Source organism: Homo sapiens, chromosome 19, assembly GCF_000001405.40.
Source record: "Homo sapiens chromosome 19, GRCh38.p14 Primary Assembly".
Taxonomy (NCBI): Eukaryota; Metazoa; Chordata; class Mammalia; order Primates; family Hominidae; genus Homo; species Homo sapiens.
In genome coordinates, this window is record NC_000019.10 from 3,505,475 (window position 1) to 3,531,895 (window position 26,421).

The window sequence follows — 26,421 nt, forward strand, 5'->3', positions numbered from 1 at the left end:
CCGGCCCATAATTTTTTTAAAAACCTGTTTTTTGTTTTTTTTTTCAAGACGTAGTGTTGCTCTGTCACCCTGGCTGAAGTGCAGTGGCGCAATCTCGGCTCATTGCAACCTCTGCCTCCTGGGTTCAAGGGATTCTTCTGCCTCAACCTCCCGAGTAGCTGGGATTAACTCCGTACCTCAGGTGATCCGCCCGCCTCGGCCTCCCAAAGTGCCGGGATTACAGGCTTGAGCCACCGCACCTGGCCTAAAAACCTGTTTTGTTCCCTGCTGTCTCACTGGGGCCTGGAGGAGCAGCACTTAGGAGCGCAATGCAGGTTTGTTGAATAAATTAATGACTCTCAGCAGTGACGTTTGTACGTTCGGGACACGCACCTGGTGTTGGGTCCCATCTGCGCTCATTAGGCGCGACGTCAATGCCGCACTGAGGTGTGCCTGGCTTCGATCTACCCTAGGAAGGGTCTGCCCTGGGGCGCCCCATTCCGCGACTGTCCCCAGTGGGAACCACGCCCTCCATCTACCAGAGCCATTTCTGCAACGTCTAGCACCCCGCGGGTCCTCTTCCGGCCGCGGTTGCCCTGGGCAACGCGTGGAGCCGCGCTTCCTGTATTGATTTGAATCGCGGGAGACGTCACGTCCTCCCGAGATGCCCAACGCGCGCAGGCGCAGCCACTCGGAGTGGGCAGGGCCTGGCTGGGTGTTGGGCAGGGCCTGGCGGTGTGTGGGGTAGGCGGGGGGCGTGGCCGCGATTAGCCGCGCGCGGCGTGGGGGCGTGGTCGGGTTGCGGGGGTGCGCGCGGCCGGCCGGGCGCGCGCGGCGGAGGGAGGGAGCCGGGAGGCAGCGGAGGAGCGACCGCCGCCATATTAGGGACCGCGGAGCCCGGGATCCCGTCAGCGGCGGCCGCGGCCGGGCCTGCGGGAGCTGCGGAGGCCGGAGGCGGGCGCTGTGCGGTGCCAGGAGAGGCGGGGTCGGCGGGAGCCAGCGAGCCACGGGAGCGAGCCAGGTGAGGCGGCCGGGGTCGGGGACCCGCCCCCCGGGCCCTAGGCGGCGGAGCTTGACTGCGACCCCCCAAAACCGGGACGGCGGGGCGGGCTGCGACCCCCACCCCAGCTCAGGCCCCTCCAGGAGCCCCCAGTCCCCTCGAATGCCGCCTCCCAGGCCGAACTAGGCCCGGGTGACCTCAGCATCCGCGTCTCCCGAGTTAACACCCAAATCCCAGCGTCCCCCCCACGTCGGGGCCTGCCGTGACCCCCACCCCGAGCCACCTGTAAGTCGTGACCTCCCCGCAGCCGCCGTCAGCGTCCACCATTCTTTTTAAAATAGGCTGAGCCCTGCACCCCCAACCAGGGGACCCCACTGCGCACCCCTAGAACAGCAGACCCCGCCTCCTAACCCGGGTGATTTCTCCCTGGCCTGTCATCCCCGGGACTTCCCAGTTCAGACCCTCCCAGCTTGGGTCCTGCCCACACGAAGCCGCCCCCCATCGCTGAGCCTGTGGTGTGCGATGGCTCGCCCAGGCCGCAACCAGCCCCTCGCCCCAGTAAAATGCAGTCCCAGCCCGGGACACCCGGAAACCTGTGTCTGTGGTCACTGTTGTGTCCACCAGTCCCCGCAGGCACGGGTTGAGTGCATGGATGTCCCCGTCTCACCTCATCTCGCTGATTTCTGCTCCCCCACCCTCCCAGCGTGCCCCCTACCAGCCCCCATTCCCCCGAAATCCAGCTCTCCCACCAAAGCCTCAGACGAGCTATCCGTGCACAAGCCCCTCCCTCCTCCGAACTGAACCTCCGTCCTGCGTCCTGCCCCGTGTCTTCTCCAAACGCAAGCCTGGCCATCTCGGATCCCCAGAATATGGAGTGTGCCCCCCATTCAGAGCCGTTTTACCCCTACTCAAACCTGTGACACCCCCTCCCCCTCTTCCACCGTCCAGACCTGTCTCCACCCCACGTCCTGAGACCCCCGATATGCAGATGTTCAGCCTAAATCTGTTTTGTCTTTTCCCCTGTTTTCTCCACCCCAAACTCATCCTCTGGTTCAGGGCGTCTCTCTGGTTCCGATTCCCCCGCCCCGCCCCAGTCTACCGGGCGATGACCTCATGCCTCTCCGTGGTGAGGCCCCCACCCCAACCTATGTGCTTTGAAGGAGGGTGATTTACCTAAGGGAAAACCATCCACCAAGGACACACACCACCAGCATGAGGGCAGCCTGCGGGGACTTTGAAGTGAAGGCGGAGTGGTCTCTCTCGGGGTGGGGGTGGGGATAGAAGCTGACGGCATCACCTAGGTTTGGTCCCCGGAGTGGATGTGTCGGGGGCCGTCTGTCATGCGGAATTCCGCGTGGGCCTCCTCCTGTGTCAGGGGCCCGTGTGTTTTGGCGACACCCGATTGTCATTTCCTTCGGAATCCCAAGTGGAGGCAGGTGTGCTGGCCACTGGCCGCTGCCCGGCGCCTTGAGCAGCGAGCGGAGTTGGGTTGCAGAGGGTTTTGCTAAGGGAGCAGACACTTACTCAAAGGCAAGCCCGGTGCTTTACTGGGGAGGGGTATCTTGGCAAGGTGGTACCCGCCAGTTTGCCCCTGTGACTTGCTTCCCAGGTCAAATTTCAGAACCTGTGCCCTGGCTGCAGGCAGTGGTGGGGGTAGGGGTTGGGGTGGGGCTTTGGGGTTTGGAGGAGGAGTTTCTAGAAACAGACAAGCCGGATTGGTCTTCAAGGTGGGGCTACATTGATTTTCTTTTTTTTTTTTTTTTTTTTTGAGATGGAGTTTCGCTCTGGGCTGAAGTCCAGTGGCGCGATCTCGGCTCACCGCAACCTCTGCCTCCCAGGTTCAAGTGATTCTCCTGCCTCAGCCTCCTGAGTAGCTGGGATTACAGGTGTGCGCACCACGCCCGGCTATTTTTGTATTTTAAGTAGAGACAGGTTTTCACCATGTTGGCCAGGCTGGTCTCCAACTCCTGACCTCAGGCGATCTGCCCGCCTCGAGGCCTCCCAAAGTGCTGTGATTACAGGCGTGCGCCACCGCGCTCGGCCTTACGTTGATTTTCAAACCACTTACTGTTTAATGGGGTTTCTGGTAGAGGGGTTTTGTAGACTGAGAACTTCTGGGTTTGGGAGTCCCAGAATGGAATTGGTTCTGAGGACCTTTTGCTTGGTGTCATTTAGAGGGGAGAGGATGGAAAGTCTGTGTGTGTAGGGCCGCTCCCGGGGACTCCAGGCAGAGGTGAAGATCCAGGGGCTTGGTCTTCTAGGAACTCAGCGCTGTCACTCCTTTCTCCTGGCGCAAAGCTCTCCACTGCCCAATTCTGTCCCCAGGGGACATTTGGCAGTATTTGAGCCAGGCATGCTGCTCAGTGCCCCCACTGTGCCCAGAACGGCCCAGTACAGAAAGCAGCCTGTCCCCAATGTCTGGACTGTGAGCCCCGTGAGGGCAGTGAGTGTGCCTGCCTGGTCCCCGCTCCGCCTCCGGCCTGCTCAGTGCCCTGGGCTGTGTGCTTGCCCACAGCGGGCCCCCTGTTGGCACTGCCACAGGGACCTGGGCACCTACCAGCAGGAAAGGGAGTGTTTGACCTCATCTCTCTTCTGCCCCCGACACCTCCCTGTGGTCACCAGTGACCTGCTCGTCAACTCCGCTTGTCACTGCCTTGCCCACATGTCACTGTTCTTCCCAGCCACTGGACTCAGCACAGAGCCAGAGCCCCTTCCTGGGCCACTTATGTTCTCGTCCAGGGACGTTCATGTCCCCAGTGGCCCCAGGTCCCTGTGTGCGTTGGCAGGTGACTGCCTTCCTCTGCCTCAGTGTCCTCATTCATGGATGGGATGAGGGGCACACAAGCAGCCTGCCTGGCCGCGCCTCATTCAGTCACTCAGCCGCCACTGACCACGAATGACACACCGCCCCCACAACGGTGAACACCCCCACTCTCTCTTGGCTTCCTACTCCGTCTGGTTCTTCCTTCAGGCTTCTTCACTGGCCCTTCTTTCTTTATTTAATTTTTGCTCGTAGTAGCTTTATTTGGATACACTTCTCCTGCCGCACGATTCACTGCTTTAGAGCGTGCAGTTCCCTGGTTTTTATATGTTCACAGGCTCGGGCCGCCATCACCTCTGCCCAATTCTGGAGCATTCTCATTCCCTCAGGAAGAAACCAGCCTTGACCCCATCAGCCGCCACCACCTGTCTCCCCTGCCTCTGTGGCTGGGCCTGTCCCGGACATTTCATAGAAATGGAATCCCACATTGTGTGGCCTTTTGTGTCTGGCATCTCTCACTGAGTGTGATGTCCTCAAGGTGCGTCTAGGCTGTGGCCTGAGTCAGAGCCCTGCTCTTTGTCGTGGCTGAGTCATGTTCCGTGATGTGGAGGCACCGGGTTTTGTGCGTCTCCTTATTCAGTGGACGTTGGTGCTGTTTCCAGTGTCTGCCTGTTGTGAGTTGAGCTGCTGCGAAGAGGCAGGCGCTGGTGGTTGTGTGGCGACCGTCCTTGTTGCTCTGTGACTGAGGCGCTGGTGCCTCCACTCGCCGGCTGATCGTGTCTGATGGTGTCAACCCCATGCAACCACCGTGAGCCCAGCTCTAGAGACCTGCCTTCCAACCTTTCCACCTTGTCCTCCTGCCCCCAGCATGTCCCTTCCACCCCAGCCTTCCCAAATTGCTGCACGGTTCTGATTTTTTTCTTTTTTCTTTTTCCTTTTTGAGATGGAGTCTCACTTTGTTACCTAGGCTGGAGTGCAGTGGCGCAATCACAACTCACTGCAGCCTCGACCTTCCAGCCTCAGGTAATCTGCCCACCTCAGTCTCCCGAGTAGCTGGGACTCCAGGCGCGCCACCATACCTGGCTAATGTTTGTATTTTCTGTAGAGACGGGGTTTTACCATGTTGCTCAGGCTGGCCTTGAAGTCCTGGGCTCAAGTGATCCTCCTGCCCTGGCCTCCCAAAGCTCTGGGATTACTGGCGGAGCCAGCATGCCCGGCCACACTGCTGGGTTCTGGAGAGCGGCAGGCCGTTCAGATTCCTGTGCTGTTTTGCACACATTCCCTTCTGTTGTGAATCTTCCTCTCTCCCAGATCAGATTTGGCCTGGGAACCTCTATATTCTCATCCCCACCAGCCTGCAGGCCACTGGGTCGGTGGTGGAAGGATGATGGGAGCAGAGAGAGGGTGGGCAGTGGGCATCTGTCTGCTTTCACCGGAGGGCTGAGGAGTGTGGGAGGCCAGTGCTGGTCTGTTTGCCCTGGAGAGCAACTCTTCCACTTAAGGATCCCCCTCAGGATCCCCCTCATCCATGCATTCCCCACCTGGGTGACTCCGCCCCCACAGGCACTGGGCAACACCTCGGGACATCTGTGCATTGTCACAACTGGGGGGCGCTCCTGGCATGGAGTGAGTGGAGGCCAGTGATGCTGCTCAGCGCCCCGCAGAGCCCAGGACTCCCCGCCATAGACAGCGTTCCGGCCCAAATGTCCGCAGCGCTGAGGTTGGGGCCCTCGCCATGAACTCCCCGGACTGGGTTTCTATTGCTACCGCCTCACCTCGCCTGGGACCCGTGGGTGGGAGCTGCATGACACAGACAGAGATGCAGAGATGTGCGGGCCTCGGGAACCTGATGGCGCTCCATCCGATCCTGAGAGACCACAGGCGTGGTGCCACGCTGCCTTCCTCCTCACGTGGGGCACTGCAGCCTTTTGTGCTGCCGCAGACCCAGGTGTCTTTTAGGTCTGAAGGTGTCATCAAGTCAGACAGGGCTGTGGGTACTCGGTGGTACCAGGAGGCTGGAGATGAGCAACCTCGGGTCTTTTATCTGCAGGCACCATTTGGAAGTGTGGAGAGCAGTTCTCACGGGAGTGGGCTGGAGGTGGGAGCTGCCCCCCACACAGGGAAGAGGGTGAGAGCTGCTGGCCGAGTAGACCCTGGGGATGCTTCTCATCCACTCTAGACTGCTATTCACTCTAGACTGCCTGCCGGCTGGGTACAGAGGCTCACGCCTGGAATCGCAGCACTTTGGGAGGCCTCAGCAGGAGGATTGCTTGAGCCCAGGAGTTTGAAACCAGCCCGGGCAACATAGGGAGACCCTGACCCCCATCTCTATATTTTAAAAACAAGAAGAGAAAAATAGGCTGCACACCCAGTGGGGGCAGCAGCTTGGCTCTGCTTTGCGGCGCCTGGGTCAGCACCTAGAACCCACATGGCACATGGCTGGTTGGTGGGGAGGCGTCGGCTGGCAGGTGGCGGCGTGAGTAAATGAATGAATGACGTGCACGGGGTGTATTCCCGGGGCCCAGGCACCGGCCTCCAACAGTAACTCGCCTCGCCATGGCTCACACGGGCACCCTGGAAGGCACGCTGTCCCCTGCCAAGGGTCTGGGCCCCACCCTTTTTTACTTGGCTACTCTTGGCTGTGTCTTTGCGTTTGTAGAGGTCAGAGGCCGCCAGCTCAGCTTGTTCTTCTGCAGGTGGGGGTTGCTCCCTGCAGAGATCTCTGTGCCTCAGTGGTCTCTCCGCTAGGCCCCGGCTCTGGTTCTGGTCCAGAGTCCACCTCTCCCCTGTGTCAGTCCACCCCTGCAACCACGGCCACCTGCCCCGGGAGCCCCATTTCTCTGACGTCCTCCCTCCTCTCTGAGACTGATGGGGGCAGCATGGGAGGAGATAAGTGTCATGGTCTGTGGACAGGAGGTCACTGGGGCAGCATCCTGGCTGCCAAGGCACCGCCATGCCCAAGGACGAAGGAGCAGGGAGCAGTCTGGGGACCTGCGTACCCCTGTCATGAGTCCCGGGCCCAGCCAGCATCCACTGAGCACCTCTGGGGCCGTGTGTGCACCTGTCATGAGTCCTGGGCCCAGCCAGCTCTCACCAAGCATCTTCTCTGGGTCATGCCGGGTGCCTGCTGCCTCGTAGACCTCATGCCTGATTTCACAGCTTCCTAGGCAGGCAGTGTTGTCCCTGCTTAACTGATGAAGAAACTGATGTCCCAAGAGGTGAAGCTGCCCAAAGCTTCGTGGCCAGGAAGGGTTGAAGCTGGGACTCAGCCTGGGCTGATCCCGTCGAAAGCCCACACTCTTTCTGATGGACCCTGCTAGAACCTTTTCATGGGACTTGGTTTACTTTCATGGGAGGGCACAAGGAGGGTTAGCGATAAGGGTGTCTGGGTGCTTCGCCCGCCTTGGGTCCCTGGAGCTGCAGGGCTGAGGGCCGCGTGTGCTGGGTGGGGTGGTGCTGGTGGGGGGCTCACGTGCTCTGACAAGGCCATCTATGCAGCTGGCACGGCTGCCCCCTTAATCACATCATGACACCGAGGACATCCAAATGTGACCCGAGAGAGCCATCTAGAGTCCTCCTCTGAGGAGTGGCTGGGAATGAGATTAGTGGGATGAGGTGACGCTTGTGAAGCCGTGCTTCATAAATGACACTCCTGGGCGCAGGGCAGGAGGCAAACCTCCCCAGAAACTCCCAGATCCAGTGAGAGCAGACAGCGGATAGCTGGGTGACCCCCCATTTTTTTGTGGGGGGTCTTTCTTATCTGGTGCTTCTCCCTAGCCCCGCAGAGGATGGCTGGACATCACGCCCAGGCACCCAGCGCAGTCCCTTGCCTTTCACATGAGGAGGGGGCTCTCTGGGAGGGCACCTGGGCCAGGGCCTCACAGGTGGTCTGGGGACACCTGGGACCCCTCAGGCAGGAGCACTTTGCAACTTTGCAGGGGTTGGGACCTGTGAGGGCTGTTAGCCAGCCCACCCCCTGGCTCTGTCACCGCCATCCAGCAACTTTGCAGGGGTCGGGACCTGTGAGGGGCTGTGTCCCGGCCCACCCCCGAGCTCTGTCACCACCATCCAGTGATCCTTAGTCGGAGGCCTCCTGCTGGAACCACTCTGCGGAGACTCCAGCAGGAGGCAGTGCCTTGCAGCTTCCCCGTGGGCAGGGCTGGGCCGAGTGCTGAGTCTAGGACACTTCGCCTCCTGGGGCAAGGGCCAGGGAGTGGGCACAGAGCCAGACCCAGACTGGCTGGATTCACGTCCCAGCTCTACCCTCACCAACTGCATGGGGACCTTGAGCAGAGGGTGCTGTCCCAGGCCCCAAGATGCAATGGCGCCTGCCCACCTGCTGTCCCAAGGACATTCAGTCAAGCACACTGAGTGCTTCCAGCTGTGCCAGCTGGTAGGCACGGGCAAGGTTTGCCTCTGTCCTAGCCCCATGTGTGTTCTGATGCTCTGCCCCTGGGCCAGGAGCCCGCACGGGATGTGGCGGCACCCATGAGGCTCTGGTCGGTGTTCCCTCCTCCCTTACCTGCTCCACGTCCCCTGTGGGTAGCAAGTGCCGCCTCACCTGCAGGCTGGAGTTACCCTTACCCAAGGCGGTCCTGCCCCAGTGTCCACTGGGCCAGGGTGGGGGGATGCCCTGGTGTATACCATAGGTGGCACATCCAGACCATAGTCAGCCTCAACACATGAGTCATAAAAGATCCGTCATTGGGATGTTTCAATTCCTTTTGTCCGTTAAAGAGCCTGAAAAAAATATGAAAACAGTGGGGACCAGTTTTCCCAGCCAAGCAAGGCGTTGCAGGAGTAGGAGCTTGGCTGAGCCTCCAGGAACCAGAGTGCTGTGTTCCTGAGGAAGATCCCGCACCAGGGGAGACCTTGGGGGCTTTGCATTGGTGCTGTTCCCAGGCCCTGTCTACACGGCAGACAGCCCCTCACGCTTTGCGTCCCCACTCAGGGACACCTCAAAGTCGAGCCTGGAGACAAATCGTGCCGTGCCATTGGCCCCCACAAACAGTGCCTCATCGGCTCCCTTTCCTCCTCTCCCCACTGGTGCAGTGGGGATGGGGCTGGGGATGCCTGGCCACACTCTGCAGGTCTCGCTCATTCAAGTCACTTCCCTGGTTTTGCCCGAGAGCAGGGTCTCTGCCCTTGCACCCTGTGGACATTGGGGCCGGATCGTTCTCTGGGGTGCGGCCGTCCTGGGCACTACAGGGTGCTGAGCAGCGTCCCTGGCCTCCACCCACTCCACGCCAGGGGCACCCCCAGTCATGACAACCACAGATGTCCCCAGACATCACCATATATCATACCCTGGGGGCAGAATCACCCTGGTTAAGACCCCCTGGGTTATGGGATTCCATGGACCCCCAAGAGACTCTGCGTCCCATGATCCTCTGCCCTGCTGAGGTCCCAGGAGGCTGCACACATTGAAATCCATACCCTGAGTGGGAGGGAGAGAGGAGGTGAATCTCAGGAGCTGGAGTCCCCCTGGTTTGTGCTGTCTGCCCCATCGGAGGCTTATTCTGGTGTCTGGTGTGAGCAGGGGCCGACTCCATTTTTTTCCACATATTTATCCCAGGGCGTCTCCCTCTGTACGGGGGCCCTGTCACTGTTTTGTCAGGTGACTGGGTCATGCCCATTTCCCAGGGGAACAGGAAGAAGCTCGAGACTGAAGGCTTGCCCGGGGCAGTGGCAGAAGGAGGCCTCCTGGCTCTTCATTCTGGGGCCCAGGGGGTGAAAGGTGGACCTTCCCTATGAGCTGGCCCAGGGGGTTTGCAGGACCCACAGGGCAGTGCCCTGCCAAGGGGATGGGGCAGCAGGAAGCCCGGTGGCCCAGGGCCCGGGTCCACCACCCAGACCAGGGCAACCAAGCTGCAGGTGTCGGCCACACAGGCAGAGCCACAGCAGCATCCCCACTAGGCACCCCCGGGCCAGGGACAAGAACCTCTGCAGGGCCTGGCGGAGCACGAGTCACTCACTGATTCACTGCTGATGTGCAGCGAGGGTCCGGGTTGCTGCTAAACTCCCTCGACCCGGTCTGAGCCTTTCCACACGGCCACACACGTTGTCTGTGCTCAGGAATTACTTAACAGCAGCTTAAGATCCTGATTTCTCTCTACTCTAACCTTTTACGATGAAACCTTCCGAGCATCCAGCAAAGGAGGGAGAATGCGGTGGTGCCCGGTCTCATCCGGAGCCTGCCTGGCCCATCTCTGACCGTGGTTTGTTTTTTTGAATACCTCACAGTTCACGTGATACAGAATTCTAGAAGTACAGGCCGGGCGCGGTGGCTCACGCTTGTAATCCCAGCACTTTGGGAGGCCGAGGCGGGCGGATCACAAGGTCAGGAGATCGAAACCATCCTGGCTAATACTGTGAAACCCCGTCTCTACTAAAAATACAAAAAATTAGGCACTACAGTGGCGGGCCCCTGTAGTCCCAGCTACTCGGGAGGCTGAGGCAGGAGAATGGTGTGAACCAGGAGGCGGAGCTTGCAGTGAGCAGAGATCGCACCACTGCAGTCCAGCCTGGGTGACAGAGCCAGACTCCGTCTCTAAAAAAAAAAAAAAAAGGAATTCAAGAAGTACAAAACGAGGTGCCAGGAGAAATAAGGCTTCTTTCCTCCCCAATCCTCGTCCTCTCCTTCCTCTCCCCACCCACCCCATGACCAGCCGCTTTTCGAACCTTCTGGGAGCAGTGTGCTCTGCATGGCCATTTTTCTGTGCAGTGGGTCTCACAGCCTCTTCCGCTCCCTGTCTGATGGCCTCTTGCGTCTTCCACTCTGACTAGCTGCCGCAGTGACTCCATCTCTGCACACATGCATGCTGAGTTTCTAAGGATAAATTCTTAGAAGTAGAAATACCGCATCACAGAGGATGTGCATTTTTTAAATTTTGGAAGCAGTTGCCAAATTGCCTTCCTTTGAAGCCGTAGCAGTTTGCAGCTTCTGCCAACCATGAGTGCGTGTGGCTGTCTCTCCCCACGCCTGGGATGGTGAGGCCGAGTCCCCCAGCCCACAGCCTCCCCCACCGTCTGACGGGCGGGAGGGTGGTGTCCTCGGTTGGATTGGCAGCTCCTGACTGCGAGGGAGGACTGGTCCTTTCCCAGTGCGGTTTGTTGGTGTCCTTTGCTACTTTGGGCTCTCCTGTGGGTGGCAGGTGCTTCCCTCAGTTTGTCATCTGTTTTTTAACTGTGTTGGTGGTGTGTCTGCCCTGCGGACTCCCAATTTTCCCGGTGTTGAATTCCACAGCCATGCCTCTTATGGCTCCTGGATTTTGTTCTTCCTGCAGCGCAGCTGAGCGAGGGGCTTAGAGGGGTCGCTGGGGGTCCCGGAGCTGAGCTGAGCACCGCTAGCAGCACCGGGCAAGTGTCCAGGTGAGGTGCCCCGGGAGGCCCCAGGCCCGGGATACAGGACCCTCCAGATCTCGGAGGTGGGAAGACAGTCTGCACACCCGTCTTGTGCACCCCTGCCCTCACTGCAGGGACAGACAGGAGCTGGGTCTCAGGCTGCTGGGCAGGCCTGGGCCCTGTGGTTTTGCCCACCAGCCTTGGGCAGCGTTGAGTGAGTTGTGTGGCCAGTAGACTGACAGCTGCTGCCCACCTGGCAACGTTTGGGCCATTGGCTCACGGCGTCTCTGTTGCCCCGGAGGGCTTGTCAGGTGCAGCCATGTGCTGCTGGGCAGCGATGTGTGCCAGGGGCCGTGTGCAGCTGCAGCTGGCGCCCGGTGTATTTGCTTTCAGTGCTGACTTCAGGGCAGCATCAGTGTTCTGGGGAAGTGGGGGATGATATTTTAGCCAATCACAACCAGACTCTGCCAGCAAGTGCCTCAGTGCACGCGGTTACCACCGCTGCTGCCAGTGACACTTGTTTACATTCTCTCATTCTGGAAAAATGCCAGCTGGGCGCGGTGGCTCACACCTGTAACCCCAGCACTCTGGGAGGCAGAGGCAGGCAGATTGCTTGAGCCCAGAAGTTCGAGACCAGCCTGGGCAACATGGGAAGCCTCCATCTCTACAAAAAATACAAAAAGTGGCTGGGTCTGGTGGAGTACACCTGTGGTCGCAGCTCCTCCAGAGGCTGAGGCAGGAGGATCACTTGAGTCTAGGAGGCAAAGGCTGCAGTAAGCCATAATTGCACCACTGCTCTCCAGCCTAGGTGACAGAGTGAGACCCGGTCTCAAAAATAAAAATCCTGGCTGGGCGCTGTGGCTCACACCTGTAATCCCAGCACTTTGGGAAGCTGAGGCGTGTGGATCACCTGAGGTCAGGAGTTCAAGACTAGCCTGACCAACATGATGAAACCCCCTCTCTACTAAAAATACAAAAAAATAGCTGGGTGTGGTGGTGAGTGCCTGTAATCCCAGCTACTTGAGAAGCTGAGGCAGGAGAATTGCTTGAACCCGGGAGGCAGAGGTTGCAGTGTGCCGAGATTGCACCACTGCACTCCAGCCTGGGCAAAAAGAGTGAGACTCTATCTCAGAAAAATAAATGAATAAAAATTTTAAAAAGATAAAAACTCCAGGGCGCTCCTGTTTGTCCACACTTAGGTCTCTGGAAATGAATTGCATCACCAAGGTCTCTGTGTGAAACAAGATAAACAAAAAAGGGTCATCTGAAATGCTGTGATTTGTAACTAAACAAAGTTCTTTTTTTTTTTTTTTCCTTCCTGAGACAGTGTCTTGCACTGTTGCCCAGGCTGGAGTGCAGTGGTGCGATCTCAGCTCACTGCAGCCTCCACCTCAGCCTCCTGAGTCCTGGGACTACAGATGTATGCCACCACACCCAGCTAACTGTTTCTTTCTTTTTTTTTTTTTTTTTTTTTGAGACAGAGTCTCACTGTGTCACCCAGGCTGGAGTGCAGTGGCACGATCTCTGCTCACTGCAACCTCCGCCTTCCAGGTTCAAGTGATTCACCTGCCTCAGCCTCCCTAGTAGCTAGGATTACAAGCATATGCCACCATGCCCAGCTAATTTTTATTTTTTAGTAGAGACGAGGTTTCACCATGTTGGCCAGGCTGGTGTCGAACTCCTGAGCTCAGGTGATCTGTCCACCTCAGCCCCCCACAGTGCCTCTGTTTGTATTTTTTGTAGAAACGGGGTCTCGCCATGTTGGCTGATCTCAAACTCCTGGTATCCTCCTGCTGTACCTGGCAGCTAAGTTCTTTAACGAGTAAGATTTGCATTACAAAGTTTTTCCATTGTTGGAGAAGGCCTAGCCAAGGGTGCTGAAAGTACAGAAGCCACAAAGGCTCCCACCAGGACACGGGAAGGGCTGGGCCCCACCTGCAAAGTCAGATCTGGAGCAGGGGCAGTGCTGGCATGGAATACAGTCCTGGAGCCGTTCCGCTTGTGCCCGCGCTCCTGTGCCCATGGGTCCCTCTGCGAGGTGCCAGGTCTTGGGGAGACTGTCCTGTGCTGGGATTTGAAGTCTGCTGGTGCCGTTGTCCATCTTGCTTTTACTTTGGCAGCTAGTTGTTGGGGGCCACTTTTACAAATGTACTTCCTTTAGCAGGCATGGTGGTGCATGTCTCTGGTCCTAGCTACTCAGAAGGCTGAGGTAGGAAGATAGCTGGAGCCCAGGAGGTGGAGGCTGCAGTGAACCATGATCAAACTACTGCATTCCAGCCTGGGCGACAGAGCGAGAGACCCTGTCTCCATAAAAAAAAGTGTTTCCTGGCAGCACATGCCACCACCTGGAATGCTTCTCCACCAGCTTGATTTTCTCCCACTACCTCCTCTGGTAGGGAGCTCACTCCAGTGGGTGGGTGGGGCTGTGGCCCTGTCATTGGGAGGGCTCTGTTCATGTGTGTTGGTCAATGAATGACCCTCCCCACCACATCCAACACAGGATGGGGCTGTCAGAAGTCAGGGGCCGTGGGGGCACAGAGAGGAAAGAGAGAGGGCAGGGCCCCCCATGCGAGGCTGGGCAGAGAGAGGGCCTCCAGGACCGTGGGGAGCATAAGTGTCTGGGGAAGCCCCGTCCACACCTGCCACCCTCTGAAACATTCAGTCACACCTGCAGAGTCCCTGCTGCCCTGCAAGGTGGCCTAGGCACAGGTCCTGGGGTCAGGACCCTACGCCCCTGGCAGTCCGGATCGTCTCTGCCCTGCGGCAGCCGCGTCTACGTGGTGAGTCGCCTGCTGGCTGCATGGGGCTTGTGAAGCCGCCAGTGCTGGGCGACCTGCATGGAGCCGACGGTGGTGGCTGATCTACCCCAAGGAGGGCGGAGGGCTGGCCTCCCTCTGGTCTCAGATTTGCTGGACTTGAACAAGTTCCTCGCCGCTTGGCTCTGGGACTCTTGGAGTCTGAGCAGGGGCTCCCTCACCCCTGCTCTGAAGCTCAGTGTTCGGGTCCTGCCTGGTTTTTGGTGTGCCAAGGGGTACAAGCTACTGTCTGGGCAATGCTGCCTGTGAAGCCGATGTTTCCAGCTGTCCTCCCCAACCATGGCCACAGCTGACGTCCTCTGTGGCTGCACGCACCACCTCTGCACAGCCTGGACTGAGCACTGCACTTCCGACGGAGACTCCCCCAGGAGCCCCTGCCCCCAGGGTGGGGTTTTCATGCCACAGTACTGCCTTTGCAAGTGGTCTCTGCTCCGCGGTTTCCTTTCTGTAAGTGCTGGAGGATCTGTGTAGATCCCCCTTCATCTGTGAATCGGTCCCGGGGGGCCCCACACCCACAGCTCTCCTGGGGCTCAGGATCTGCATAGATTCCCTGTTCATCTGCAGATCAGTCCCGGGGGGCCCCACACCCACAGCTCTCGTGGGGCTCAGGATCTGCGTAGATTCCCTGTTCATCTGCAAATCAGTCCCGGGGGGCCCCACACCCACACCTTTCCTGGGGCTCAGGTCTCTATAGACCCTCTGGCTCCAGGCTCGGGAAATTGTCCCCCAGAGGCTGTCTTCACTGGGGACAGATGCTTAGGCCTCTCCTCGTCCTGGGATGGCCAGTGCTGGCCCAGGAGTGGTCGGGTGTGGTGGGGACACATGGGCCTTTGGGGCTGCGGGAGGCAGCTGTGCCCTGTGGAGAACCGGTGGGGACTGTGGGTGGGGAGAGGCCATTCTGGGCGAGGGAGAAGGGGATGGGGAGGAGGCTGGTGACATGACCTGGCCCCAGTAGGGGGCAGGCTGGAAGGAGGGAGAGCTGCTGGCCATTGCTCTGTGGCCGCGTGGGCCACCCTTTGGGCCCATGTGCTTTGGGCTGAGCCATGTAGAGAACCCTGGGCCTTCTATGTGGTCGTGGGCATTGCTGCCCTGCACTCTGCCTTCGTGTCCTCATCTGCACAGGCGGTGGGCGCTGGCACCCGTCCATGAGGCCTTGCAGAGGGGACACGAGATAAGCCACGAAAACCCACTACCACAGGACTGTGGGCTGCATGCTCTTGTCCCTCAGAGCCTGACTGGCCCCATGTGGCCGAGCCAGGGACCACATGCGTCCCTTGACTGCGGGCCCAGTCAGCGCTGCCTGCGGGCTCTTGCAGAAGAAACAGCCCTGCGGTTGATCCTATCTCCAACCCCAGGCCGGGAGCTCGTCAGAGGCCACCTGGAGCTGTGGAGGTGGCAATCAGGCCAACCGCCTCAGTATCTCAGGACAGAGTGGTGCTCGGGATGACAGGAGCAGCACCAAACCCGCATGGGTCTGTCCCTACCTGGTGACGCAAGCCAGTGCATGCCTCAGGTGTCTGTTTCCTAAAAAGGCAGGTGTCGCCTCGGCCCTTCTGGTCTCCGTGAGTCAGCCTCCTCCAGGGCCCTCCCAGGTCTTTTGTGTCTGGTGTCTCTCACAGGGTGCAACGTCCTCAGGGCGTGTCCGCGCTGTGGCCTGGGTAGAGCCTTGCTCCTTTCATGGCTGGGTCGTGTTCTGGCGTGTGGAGGGCCGCGCTGGTTCGTCCCTCACCTGTTGATGCGTATGTAGGATTTTGCCGTCTTTTGGCTGTTGTGAATTGTGCGTCTGTGAGCATTTGTGTACCAGTTCCTGTGCCTTTCCCATTCTCCTGGGTGTGTATCTAGGAAGTGCTGGGTCATGTGGTGACTGTGGGTTTCTCTTGCGTAGACATAACTTTATCATCACTTAACATTAGTAGCAGAACGGGACTAAGCTTTCATCACTGACAGACTCTGTGTTTAACGATTGAGGAACTTACCTGCCAAAGAAGTCACCAGGGACTGGGGAGAGGGATGGGGAGTGAGTGTTCCATGGCGACAGAGTTTCAGTTTGGGAAGATGAGAAAGTTCTAGAGATGACCGTGGTGGTGGCTACACAACCACGGGAATGTGATTAACACCACTGAACTGTACGCTTTTTTTTTTTTTGAGACAGAGTCCCGCTCTGTCACCCAGGCAGGAGTGCAGCGGCACGATCTCAGCTCACTGCAGCCTTCACCTCCCGGGTTCAAGCGCTCCTCCTGCCTCAGCCTCCTGAGTAGCTGGGATTACAGGCATGTGCCATCACACCCAGCTAATTTTTGTATTTTTAGTAGAGACGGGGTTTCACCACGTTGGCCAGGCTGGTCTCAAATTCCTGACCTCGTGATCCACCCGCCTCGGCCTCCCGAACTGTTGGGATTACAGGCGTGAGCCACCGTGCCTGGCCAGAACTGCACACTTAAACGTGTTCGAGATGGTAAACTTTAGGTAAATTTTTTCACTTTTTTTTTTTTTTTTTCTTGAGACAGAGTCTTGCTCTGTCACCCAGGCTGGAGTGTAGTGGCATGATCATAGCTTACTGCAGCCTCAAACTCCCAGCCTCAGGCGATCCTCCCACCTCAGCCTCCCAAGTAGCTGGGACCACAGGTGCGCGCCACCACACTTGAGCCCAGGAGGTTGAGGCTGCAGTGATCCGTGATTGTGCCATGGCACTACAGCCTGGGTGACACAGGGAGACCTGTCTACAAAAAGAACCGCTGTATTTACAGACCGGCAGCCTGTACATGGCCTTGGGCTGTGGTTTGCTGGCCCTGGTGGGAAGAGCGTTTTTCCTAGGCTACCTTCTGTCTCCATGGCCTGCACGGACCTTCACTTTATTCTTGTACAAACCCCCTTCCTGCCTCGGGCTGTGCATCTCTCTCTGGAACGTTCTTTGCGGTCTCCTCACCGCCACTTTTCTTCACACCTCAACATAAATGCCACCCCCTTGGAGGGGCCTTCCTGGTTTGGCTGAGCCTGGTCCCATGTGGGCTCTGCATGGGCCCCTGGATGTTACCTTGGTTGTAGCTGAGTGCGGATGTGGCTTGTCCACAGGAGGCTGATGTCCCTGGAGCTGTGACTTGGTCTACCTGGGCCTGGACCCACGTGGCCGGCCCGGGGCCTGTGCGTGGCCAGCTCTTGCACACTGCCTTAGAGCTGGTGTGGCTTGTTGAACCCCGTTGCAGACGCACACGCACGTGGGTCCCCATGGCTCCTCGGGACATGGAGGCTGCCCACGCTCAGGGAAGAGTCCTTGTCGGGACCTCCAGGACTCTTCCCAGCCCCCGCCTCCCTCCTGGGGCCTCCAGGGCAGAAAGCCCCTTTCCCGGGCAGGAGGACAGGGTGTGGATATACAGGCTGGGAGGGTCTGTGGGCAGCAGCCGAGGCCCAGGTTGGGGGAGCCTCACCTAGGATGAGGCTAGGGCTGGCAGAAGATCCCCACAGAGGAGCCAGGAGGACCCCACAGTCACTCTAGCTCCCAGGGCCTGGAGGTGCAGGCGAGCCCCGTGGTCTCCGGGCAGCCGGCCCTGCCCCACTCACCTCTCCTGCCCTTCCCGCTGCAGGCTAACCTTGCCGCGGGCCGAGCCCTGCCTCGCCATGGACCAGGACTATGAGCGGCGCCTGCTTCGCCAGATCGTCATCCAGAATGAGAACACGATGCCACGCGTGAGTGCCCCCGCCCTGCCCACCACTGTGGCTCCCCCTCCCCCAGCTGCCTCTGCCCTGGCCAGCAGCCTCAGGTGTCCCCACTGTCACTAAAGCCCCACGGACCACTCAGGTCCCAGTCCCCCAGGTCACACGGGGCCTCCGCCTCCTGGGCTGTCAGGGTTGCCGCCACCCCCAGGGCCATAGTCAGAGCCCAGCGGGGCTTGGATGGATGAGGAGGCAAAAGGCCCAGAGTGGTGGAGCTGGGGCGGCCGCATGGGCAGAGGCACAGGGTGGCCTGCAGAGCCTTTAGGGAGACCCGTTCCTGTCTCCAAGCCCCAGGCACATCTGGAACCCTGTGGGATTTGGGGGGCCCTGGCTTTGTCCTTCCTTGCGCTCCACCCTGCCTCCCCAGCCCAGCCGTGTTTGCCTTGCCCTGGGCTCCAGGCAGGCCACTGGCCACACAGGGTCTCGGGGCTGGTGGCTGCTGTGTGACAGCCACATCCCTCACCTGCTTCCCCACCCGACTCCTGCGGGGGGCTGAGGGGCCAAACTCCTGTTGCTGTCTACACAACATGAAGCCTGGGTCGGAATAGCATCAGGCTTAGCCTGGACGGCCACCAGTCCCTGCCCTGTGATAGACGCCCAAGCCATCATTCTCGAAGACGAAGTTGCCATTGTCCCGAGTCCCTCCCCCATGGGCTGGCCTGCATAGACGGGTCTGAGGGGCATGGGCCTTTGGGGAGGGGCTGTCCCATCGCAGCTCCCTCAGTGCCAGCAACCTCTGTGCCCAGGCATTGGGCTAGGCCTGGGGCAGGCTCACCTTCAAGGCTTTGTTCAGCTTCAGACCCCAAAGCCTGGGTCCCGGGACCTGCGGGAGCCCACCACAGCCGCCTTCTCCCCCTGTGCGGTGCGGCCCCCACAGGGCAGAGCCAGGGAGGCAGATCCAGGATCGTGCGTGATGTAGCAGGGTCCCCATTGGTAAAGGGACAGGGCCACTGCAGAAGAAAAGTGGCGTAGAATTAGAGGTGTCTTTGCAATCTCAGGGATTTCAGAGAGAGAGAGGCATAAATACAGGGGCATCTGTGTGCACAGAGAGGATCTGGGCACCACGGCGCCCAGCAGCAGGAGCAGCCCTAGTGCCGACCCTCGGTCTCCAGAGCACTCTCGGGGCTGCCAGGAGGACAGTGGGAGCCTGCAGGCCCAGCAGTGCGTGGGAGGGCGGGGCGCAGTGCGAGGATCCAGCACCCTCCATCCAGTGCACTTCGAAGTCTCCCGGATGCAGCCAGGCCGGGGTGTGAACGGGAGATGGGGGAGGAGCGGGCATTGGCAGTTTTGGGAGAGCTCCCCACATACCCGTCCTGCCCCGCAGTCACCCAGCACAGCCTGGACTTTATGACACAGAACCACCTTCAGACCCAGACGGAGCGCCAGGCTGTGGAGAGACAGCCCTGGAACCCTCCAAAGTGTCAAGGCCATGACTGCGTCACAGGCTGGGGGCAGGGAGATGTGACAGCAGACGGAATATGACCCTACGCAAGCCTGTGTTTCCTGGGGCTCCACCAGAGAGGCCGCAGACGGGGCCCACGCAGCACTCGCAGAACCTCTCCCAGTCCTGGGGGTCCGGAGTCGGAGGTCACGGTGTGGGCAGGGCCACGCTTCCTCTCGAGGCTCCAGGGGAGGACCCTTCCTGCCTCTCCCAGCTTCTGGGGGCTCCTGCTATCCGTGGCTGTGACCACGTCCCTCTGGCCTCTGCATCTGTCCTGGAACCATCTGCTTGTGTCTCTGTGTCCGTGTTTTCCTCTTCTTATGAGGATGCTTGTCATCAAATCAGGGCTCACCCTAATGGCTTCCTCTTGAGTATAATCACATCTGCAAGAAACTCGTGTCCAATCAGAGTCCCATTCCCAGGTTGCGGGGCTCAGGACTTCACAGTATCCTTTTAGGGACACCGGTCAGCTGATAACAGACCCCTCATAGAAAAAAGACGGCGCGGGGACAGTCAGATGGGGTTGGAGGGTTAGACGGGTGTTGTGGGCAGCAGGAGATGGGGATGAGGGCCACACTCCCAGGTGGCTCTGGGTACAGCTGTTGCGTGTCTTGTGCCGTCAAGGCCTGCGTCTGTGATCATCTAGAGACGGTGAATGCATGGCACCTGCGCAGCGTTGGGAGGGCAGTTGGGGTCTTGTGCTCCCTGGCTCTGTCCCCTCCGCCATGGCCCCCATTCCTGCCACTCCACCCCGTCCCGTGGCCCTGCCCTCACCACCCTCCTGCCTGGCAGCGTTGGGAGGCTGAGCCTGCCCGTGGGCCTGGCATCTCCCGGAGGCTTCTGGCACAGAAATCCCTGACCATGAGTGACCACGAGTGACTGTGTGGCTCCCCTCCTTGGGTTTTCTTTTTTTTTTTTTTTTTTTTTTTTTTTTGAGACGGAGTCTCGCTCTGTCGCCCAGGCTGGAGTGCAGTGGCACAATCTTGGCTCACTGCAAGCTCCGCCTCCCAGGTTCATGCCATTCTCCTGCCTCAGCCTCCCGAGTAGCTGGGACTACAGGCGCCTGCCACCACGCCCGGCTGATTTTTTGTATTTTTAGTAGAGACGAGGTTTCACAGTGTTAGCCAGGATGGTCTTGATCTCCTGACCTCGTGATCCGCCCGCCTCGGCCTCCCAAAGTGCTGGGATTACGGGCGTGAGCCACCGCGCCTGGCCCACCCCTTGGGTTTTCAAGATCAAAGCCCCCTTTGCTCAGTGGCCAGAGGCTGAGAGAGGCTGGCCTGGGGGCACTCTCGGGGGGCTCTCGGTGCTGAGAGCAAGCCCTCTGCTGATGCCCTTCAGGTCACAGAGATGCGGCGGACCCTGACGCCTGCCAGCTCCCCAGTGTCCTCGCCCAGCAAGCACGGAGACCGCTTCATCCCCTCCAGAGCCGGAGCCAACTGGAGCGTGAACTTCCACAGGATTAACGTGAGGGGCTGGCTGGGCAGGAGATGGGACCCCCCGGGAAGCCCAGGGCCCCTCCCAGCCTCCTTGCTCTAGGGCCGGGAACAAGCGGGCTCCTCGACCCCTCCCTCTCTGCTCTCCTGCCTGCAGGAGAATGAGAAGTCTCCCAGTCAGAACCGGAAAGCCAAGGACGCCACCTCAGACAACGGCAAAGGTTAGGGTCCCAGCCCATCCGCCCTGCAGGCCCCCACCCTGCCTTGCCCCGCCTCACTGTGCTTGGTGCCCGCAGACGGCCTGGCCTACTCTGCCCTGCTCAAGAATGAGCTGCTGGGTGCCGGCATCGAGAAGGTGCAGGACCCGCAGACTGAGGACCGCAGGCTGCAGCCCTCCACGCCTGAGAAGAAGGGTCTGTTCACGGTAAGCCTGCGGCACCCCCCACCCGGGAGCTGGCTCCCAGTGCAGCCTCCCCGGCCCCCCACCTCCCAGGCACCAGCTCTGCCTCCCCGAGCCCGGTTCTCGGGCCCAGCCACGGCTCAGCACCCCCGCCCTGACCCTGTTCCTTAGCCAGGTCAGGGGCCCTGGGATCTGAGGCTGGAGGTCTAGCAGGTAAACTGGGATGTGGGGGTGCGGGAGGAATCCAGGCTCAGCCTGTTGGGCTTTTTCTCCCCACACCAATGCTACCTGGGGTCCCGAACACCCAAGCCGGTGGGGGTCCTGCCCGTAGGGGGCAGTACTGGGTCCTCCCACAGGGCCCCACTCTGTCCACATGATCCGGGAGCTCAAAGGCAGGATCACACGGAGCCTGGCTTGGGTCCCTCGAGAGAGGGCGGGAGGGGTGGGGGGTCCGCAGTCCCCGCCAGGAAGGCGCCTGCCTTTTTACAGCTGCTCCACACAGGGTCTCAGCACCTGCCTTAGGGCTATGAGCTGTACCGGGAGCGTGGGCTGCTGGGGGGCTCTGAGGGTCCTGCGGCCTGGGCGTGCGCTCAGCTGGCATGTCCCCCGCTCCACAGTATTCCCTTAGCACCAAGCGCTCCAGCCCCGATGACGGCAACGATGTGTCTCCCTACTCCCTGTCTCCCGTCAGCAACAAGAGGTGGGTCCCAGCTTCCTCCGCAGCCCTCCCTACTCCCTGTCTCCCGTCAGCAGCAAGAGGTGGGTCCCAGCTTCCTCCGCAGCCCTGTCCCTGCGGGTCCTGGTGGGCGAGGCTGAAGGGGGCTTCCCAGGGCATAGTGGCCTGGAGCTGTGACTGTGTCCTCCCCCAGAGTCCTTAGAGTGGAGGGGCCCCAGCCCCCCATGAGGCCATGGTCAGTAATAGAAGTGTAGTCCAGGCCTAGAGCAGCCCAGAGATCCCCTTGCTGAGGGCACACCATGGCCTGGCAGTGTTGGCCTCAGACAAGGGGCAGGGTAGTCAGGAAGGGCTGCCTGGAGGAGGTGTGGGGAGCAGAGCCAGCACAGCTGTGGAAGGGAGGCCAGGGCAGCCAGACACCCGAGGGTGAAGGCCTGTGGGGCTGTCCCTGGGTTTAGGATCACATGGTGGCGGTGGTGATTGGAGGGGCCGGACTGGGCTCCTGGGGCTGGCAGGGAAGGAGACACTTCCCAAGCGTTTGCAAGAGGTGACCCAAGTGCCGTGGCTCACGGATGCCACGTGGCCGCCTCTGCAGCCAGAAGCTGCTCCGGTCCCCCCGGAAACCCACCCGCAAGATCTCCAAGATCCCCTTCAAGGTGCTGGACGCGCCCGAGCTGCAGGACGACTTCTACCTCAATCTGGTGGACTGGTCGTCCCTCAATGTGCTCAGCGTGGGGCTAGGCACCTGCGTGTACCTGTGGAGTGCCTGTACCAGCCAGGTGGGTGCTGCGTGGGGTGTGCATGTGCATGGGGGCCTCCCCAGCTCCCAGCAGACCTCAATGTACCCACCGGGATCCAGGGAGCATCAGTACGAGCCAGGCGCCTGCCATGGCCCTCCTAGCTGGGGCCTCCCAGCCTCCCAGCCACAGCCCTCCCAGCCACTACCCTCCCAGCCCTCCCAGCCATGGCCCTCCCAGTCAGGGCCTCCCAGCCACGGCCCTCCCAACCCTCCCAGCCATGGCCCTCCCAGCCACTGCCCTCCCAGCCAGCAGTGGCATCTGCGGCAGCATGGGGTCCCCACTGGAGCCACAATCTCTGTTCAGCTCTATAGAGAAGAAGAGACAGGTGTCCCAGCCTGGCTGAGCCCAGGGGCCACTATGACCACCGAGTGGCCGCTGTCCTGGAGTGGCCTCTGGGCGCATGGAGCCTGCTAGTCCCTACAGGGAGACTGGGTTGCTGGTGCAGGGCAGCAGCAGACACTGCCCGCTGGGGTGGGGGTTTCAGGGATAACGCCATGCGAGTAGTTTCGGGAGAGCGAGGGTTGGCGCCCTCCCTGCAGCCTATGAGCTGCTCCCGCTGGCAGTGTCCCACACCCTTCTAGGCCCTGCCCTCACCATTTGAGCGTCCTCTCCCGGCAGCAGGAGCCGTGTAGCTCTGGGCAGCTTCCTCCCATCCTCTGCTCGTCCCATGCAGGCTCTCCCCTGTGTGTGTGTGTCTCCCCTGTATGTGTGTGGCAGGCTTGAGCTTGCCAGGTCCCAGCAGTGACCAACCCAGCGACCCCATGGGCCTGGAGTGATGAGAGAGTGAATGAGTGGATGGGAGAGTGGATGGGAGAGTGGATGGGAGAATGGATGAGAGAGTGGATGGGTGAGCGGATGAGAGAGTGGATGGGTGAGCAGATTAGGGAGTGGATGGGTGAGTGGATGGGAGAGTGGGTGGGTGTGTGGATGGGTGCGTGGATGGGTGCGTGGATGGGAGAGTGGATGGGTACGTGGATGGGTGAGTGGATGGGAGAATGGATGAGAGAGTGGATGGGTGAGTGGATGAGAGAGTGGATGGGAAAGTGGATGAGAGTGGTTGAGGGGAGTGGATGTTTGAGTGGATGGGAGAGTGTATGGGAGTGGATGGGAGAGCGGATGGGTGAGTGGATGGGAGAGCAGATGGTTGAGCGGATGGATGAGCAGATGGGAGAGTGGATGAGAGTAGTTGAGGAAGTGGATGGGTGAGAGGATGGGAGTGCGGATGCTTGAGCGGATGGGAGAGCGGATGGGAGAGCAGACGGTTGAGCGGATGGGAGAGCGGATGGGAGAGCGGATGGGAGAGCGGATGGGAGAGCGGATGGGAGAGCGGTTGGGAGAGCGGTTGGGAGAGCGGATGGGAGAGCGGATGAGAGAGTGGATGGTTGAGCGGATGGGAGAGCGGATGAGAGTGGTTGAGGGAGTGGATGGGAGAGTGGATGAGAGTGGTTGAGGAAGTGGATGGTTGAGTGGATGGGAGAGCGGATGGGAGAGTGGATGAGAGTGGTTGAGGGAGTGGATGGGAGAGCGGATGGGAGAGCAGATGGGAGAGCAGATGGGTGAGCGGATGGGAGAGCAGATGGGAGAGTGGATGAGAGTGGTTGAGGGAGTGGCTGGTTGAGTGGATGGGAGAGCAGATGGGAGAGCAGATGGGAGAGCAGATGGGTGAGCGGATGGGAGAGCAGATGGGAGAGTGGATGAGAGTGGTTGAGGGAGTGGCTGGTTGAGTGGATGGGAGAGCGGATGGGTGAGTGGATGAGAGTGGTTGAGGGAGTGGATGGTTGAGCAGATGGGAGAGCGGATGGGTGAGCAGATGGGAGAGCGGATGGGTGAGTGGATGAGAGTGGTTGAGGGAGTGGATGGTTGAGCGGATGGGAGAGCGGATGGGAGAGTGGATGGGAGAGTGGATGGGTGAGCGCATGGGAGCGCATGGGTGAGCGGATGCGAGAGTGGATGAGAGTGGTTGAGGGAGTGGATGGTTGAGTGGATGGGTGAGCGGATGGGTGAGCGGGTGGGTGAGCGGGTGGGTGAGCGGGTGGGTGAGCGGGTGGGAGAGCGGATGGGAGAGTGGTTGAGGGAGCGGATGGGTGAGCGGATGGGAGAGCGCATGGGTGAGCAGATGCAAGAGTGGATGAGAGTGGTTGAGGGAGTGGATGGTTGAGTGGATGGGAGAGCAGATGGGTGAGTGGATGGGAGAGTGGATGGGTGAGCGGATGGGAGAGCAGATGGGTGAGCGGATGGGAGAGCGGATGGGAGAGTGGATGAGAGTGGTTGAGGGAGCGGATGGGTGAGCGGATGGGAGAGCGCATGGGTGAGCAGATGCAAGAGTGGATGAGAGTGGTTGAGGGAGTGGATGGTTGAGCGGATGGGAGAGCAGATGGGAGAGTGGATGGGTGAGCGGATGGGAGAGCAGATGGGTGAGCGGATGGGAGAGCGGATGGGAGAGCGGATGGGAGAGCGCAGGGGAGAGCGGAGGAGAGAGCGGAGGAGAGTGGTTGAGGGAGTGGATGGTTGAGCAGAAGGGAGAGCGGATGGGAGAGCGGATGGGTGAGCAGATGGGTGAGCGGATGGGAGAGCGCATGGGAGAGCGCATGGGAGAGCGGATGGGAGAGCGCATGGGAGAGCGCATGGATGAGCGCATGGGAGAGCGCATGGGTGAGCGGATGCAAGAGTGGATGAGAGTGGTTGAGGGAGTGGATGGTTGAGTAGATGGGAGAGCAGATGGGAGAGTGGATGAGAGTGGATGGGAAAGCGGATGAGAGTGGTTGAGGGAGTGGATGGGAGAGCAGATGGGTGAGTGGATGGAAAAGTGGATGGGACTGTGGATGGGAGAGTGGATGAGATTGGATGGGAGAGTGGATGAGAGTGGATGGGTGAGACAGTGGAGGGATGAATGTACCCATGGATAGACTGGGGCTTCGAGACCAGCGGCAAAGCTCACACTGACCTCTGCCTCCAGGTGACGCGGCTCTGTGACCTCTCAGTGGAAGGGGACTCAGTGACCTCCGTGGGCTGGTCTGAGCGGGTGAGTGCAGAGGGCTTGGCCCCCACCTGGGAGATCTGATGGGGCTCTTGACAGTGTTGGGGGCCTTGAAGACCCAGAGGGTCTAGTGCGTGGCCTGAGGTCGCCTGTGTCCAAGCATAGGTCTGTGTCCCCCACTGTCCCCGGCCTTAGTGTGGTCCTGGTAGAGGGAGTAACAGGGATGAGCAGGCACCCACCAGGCCCCTAGAAAGGATGGCAGGTCCAGTGGGGAAATAACGCCCCAGTTCCTTCCATGGGACCTGCCCACCTGGGACTCGCTCCCCTGGAGTTCCATTTTCCACTCAGGGTCGAGTGGGCTTTAGTTCCATTTTAGATTATGATGAAAACATCTCAGCAGCAGCTTTGAAGCATATCATGGGGAGGGTCTGTGCCCCTCACCCAGAGCTGCCCAGGGCTGCCCCTAGCACTCGTAACCGCTCACTGTGTCCAGGCGTGTGCGCTCACCCTCCCTCCATCCATCTTAGGTTTTCATGTGCCTCAAAGTCAGTTGCAGACAGCAACGCATGTTGCCCAGCTCCTGGGCCTGTGTGGAACCTGGAGCTCAGTGTCTGCAGTTTCTCCTTCCCTCTGTGTGAAATGTCCATGTGGGAAGGTCCACGTACCGAGTCTTGGCTGGACTCTGAGAAACCCAGGCGCAGTGTGTGCGGGGTGTGCCCGCCACCCCAGCATGCACTGAGGGGGGTTTATGCTTCTTCCGAAGGGACGTGCATTCGAGAGTCGTTAGGGAAACCGTCCCAGAGCCCTGGTGAGGAGAGAGCCTGGCGCGACCAACGCCAGGACGGGCACAGTCCCCGGGCCAGACCTGACACCGGTGCTCTGCCCATGCCTTCCATCCTAGGGGAACCTGGTGGCGGTGGGCACACACAAGGGCTTCGTGCAGATCTGGGACGCAGCCGCAGGGAAGAAGCTGTCCATGTTGGAGGGCCACACGGCACGCGTCGGTGAGGAGCCCGGGTCCCATGGCTGGTGAGCTCCCTGAGGCCCCAGCTCCGCGAGGGCAGGAGAGGCTCACCCCCGCTT

At 60.1% G+C, this 26,421-nt stretch overlaps 1 protein-coding gene and 1 long non-coding RNA gene across 9 annotated transcripts in view, besides 8 other annotated features; one reads left to right on the plus strand and one right to left on the minus strand.

Moving 5' to 3' along the window:
- Positions 212 to 261: an enhancer, noted in NCBI's record as "active region_13736". NCBI's record gives its function as "activates an Ori minimal core promoter by ATAC-STARR-seq in GM12878 lymphoblastoid cells {active_cell/tissue: GM12878}" and the evidence as "EXISTENCE:reporter gene assay evidence [ECO:0000049][PMID:35858748]".
- Positions 312 to 571: an enhancer, noted in NCBI's record as "active region_13737". NCBI's record gives its function as "activates an Ori minimal core promoter by ATAC-STARR-seq in GM12878 lymphoblastoid cells {active_cell/tissue: GM12878}" and the evidence as "EXISTENCE:reporter gene assay evidence [ECO:0000049][PMID:35858748]".
- Positions 837 to 26,421, plus strand: part of FZR1 (fizzy and cell division cycle 20 related 1) — a 32,024-nt gene continuing 6,439 nt past the window's right edge. For 2 of the 8 annotated variants that reach the window (XM_005259573.6, NM_016263.4), the window contains exons 1-9: positions 837 to 1,000; positions 17,482 to 17,584; positions 20,394 to 20,519; positions 20,646 to 20,709; positions 20,785 to 20,912; positions 21,506 to 21,588; positions 22,157 to 22,340; positions 25,318 to 25,383; positions 26,240 to 26,342. In XM_005259573.6, coding sequence (XP_005259630.1) covers positions 17,516 to 17,584; positions 20,394 to 20,519; positions 20,646 to 20,709; positions 20,785 to 20,912; positions 21,506 to 21,588; positions 22,157 to 22,340; positions 25,318 to 25,383; positions 26,240 to 26,342 — 823 coding nt within the window. In that variant the 5' untranslated portion in view covers positions 837 to 1,000; positions 17,482 to 17,515. Of the gene's footprint in view, positions 1,001 to 15,551; positions 15,640 to 16,057; positions 16,367 to 17,481; positions 17,585 to 20,393; positions 20,520 to 20,645; positions 20,710 to 20,784; positions 20,913 to 21,505; positions 21,589 to 22,156; positions 22,341 to 25,317; positions 25,384 to 26,239; positions 26,343 to 26,421 lie in introns of those variants that run through there. The other 6 variants (XM_047438908.1, XM_047438909.1, XR_001753699.1 and 3 more) reach the window with 4 other exon arrangements.
- Positions 892 to 1,041: a silencer, noted in NCBI's record as "silent region_9847". NCBI's record gives its function as "represses an Ori minimal core promoter by ATAC-STARR-seq in GM12878 lymphoblastoid cells {active_cell/tissue: GM12878}" and the evidence as "EXISTENCE:reporter gene assay evidence [ECO:0000049][PMID:35858748]".
- Positions 1,382 to 1,591: an enhancer, noted in NCBI's record as "active region_13738". NCBI's record gives its function as "activates an Ori minimal core promoter by ATAC-STARR-seq in GM12878 lymphoblastoid cells {active_cell/tissue: GM12878}" and the evidence as "EXISTENCE:reporter gene assay evidence [ECO:0000049][PMID:35858748]".
- Positions 10,640 to 11,466: an enhancer, noted in NCBI's record as "H3K27ac-H3K4me1 hESC enhancer chr19:3516112-3516938 (GRCh37/hg19 assembly coordinates)". NCBI's record gives its function as "activates a minimal SCP1, AML or CMV promoter by ChIP-STARR-seq in naive H9 embryonic stem cells {active_cell/tissue: H9 hESC(naive)}" and the evidence as "EXISTENCE:reporter gene assay evidence [ECO:0000049][PMID:30033119]".
- Positions 11,467 to 12,291: an enhancer, noted in NCBI's record as "H3K27ac-H3K4me1 hESC enhancer chr19:3516939-3517763 (GRCh37/hg19 assembly coordinates)". NCBI's record gives its function as "activates a minimal SCP1, AML or CMV promoter by ChIP-STARR-seq in naive H9 embryonic stem cells {active_cell/tissue: H9 hESC(naive)}" and the evidence as "EXISTENCE:reporter gene assay evidence [ECO:0000049][PMID:30033119]".
- Positions 12,572 to 13,374: an enhancer, noted in NCBI's record as "OCT4-NANOG-H3K27ac-H3K4me1 hESC enhancer chr19:3518044-3518846 (GRCh37/hg19 assembly coordinates)". NCBI's record gives its function as "activates a minimal SCP1, AML or CMV promoter by ChIP-STARR-seq in naive H9 embryonic stem cells {active_cell/tissue: H9 hESC(naive)}" and the evidence as "EXISTENCE:reporter gene assay evidence [ECO:0000049][PMID:30033119]".
- Positions 12,689 to 19,554, minus strand: LOC124904617 (uncharacterized). Its single transcript, XR_007067099.1, has 2 exons — positions 18,387 to 19,554; positions 12,689 to 15,629 (listed from the first exon to the last, which is right to left on the minus strand). It is a non-coding gene; the product is annotated as an uncharacterized LOC124904617 (long non-coding RNA).
- Positions 14,978 to 15,778: an enhancer, noted in NCBI's record as "H3K27ac-H3K4me1 hESC enhancer chr19:3520450-3521250 (GRCh37/hg19 assembly coordinates)". NCBI's record gives its function as "activates a minimal SCP1, AML or CMV promoter by ChIP-STARR-seq in naive H9 embryonic stem cells {active_cell/tissue: H9 hESC(naive)}" and the evidence as "EXISTENCE:reporter gene assay evidence [ECO:0000049][PMID:30033119]".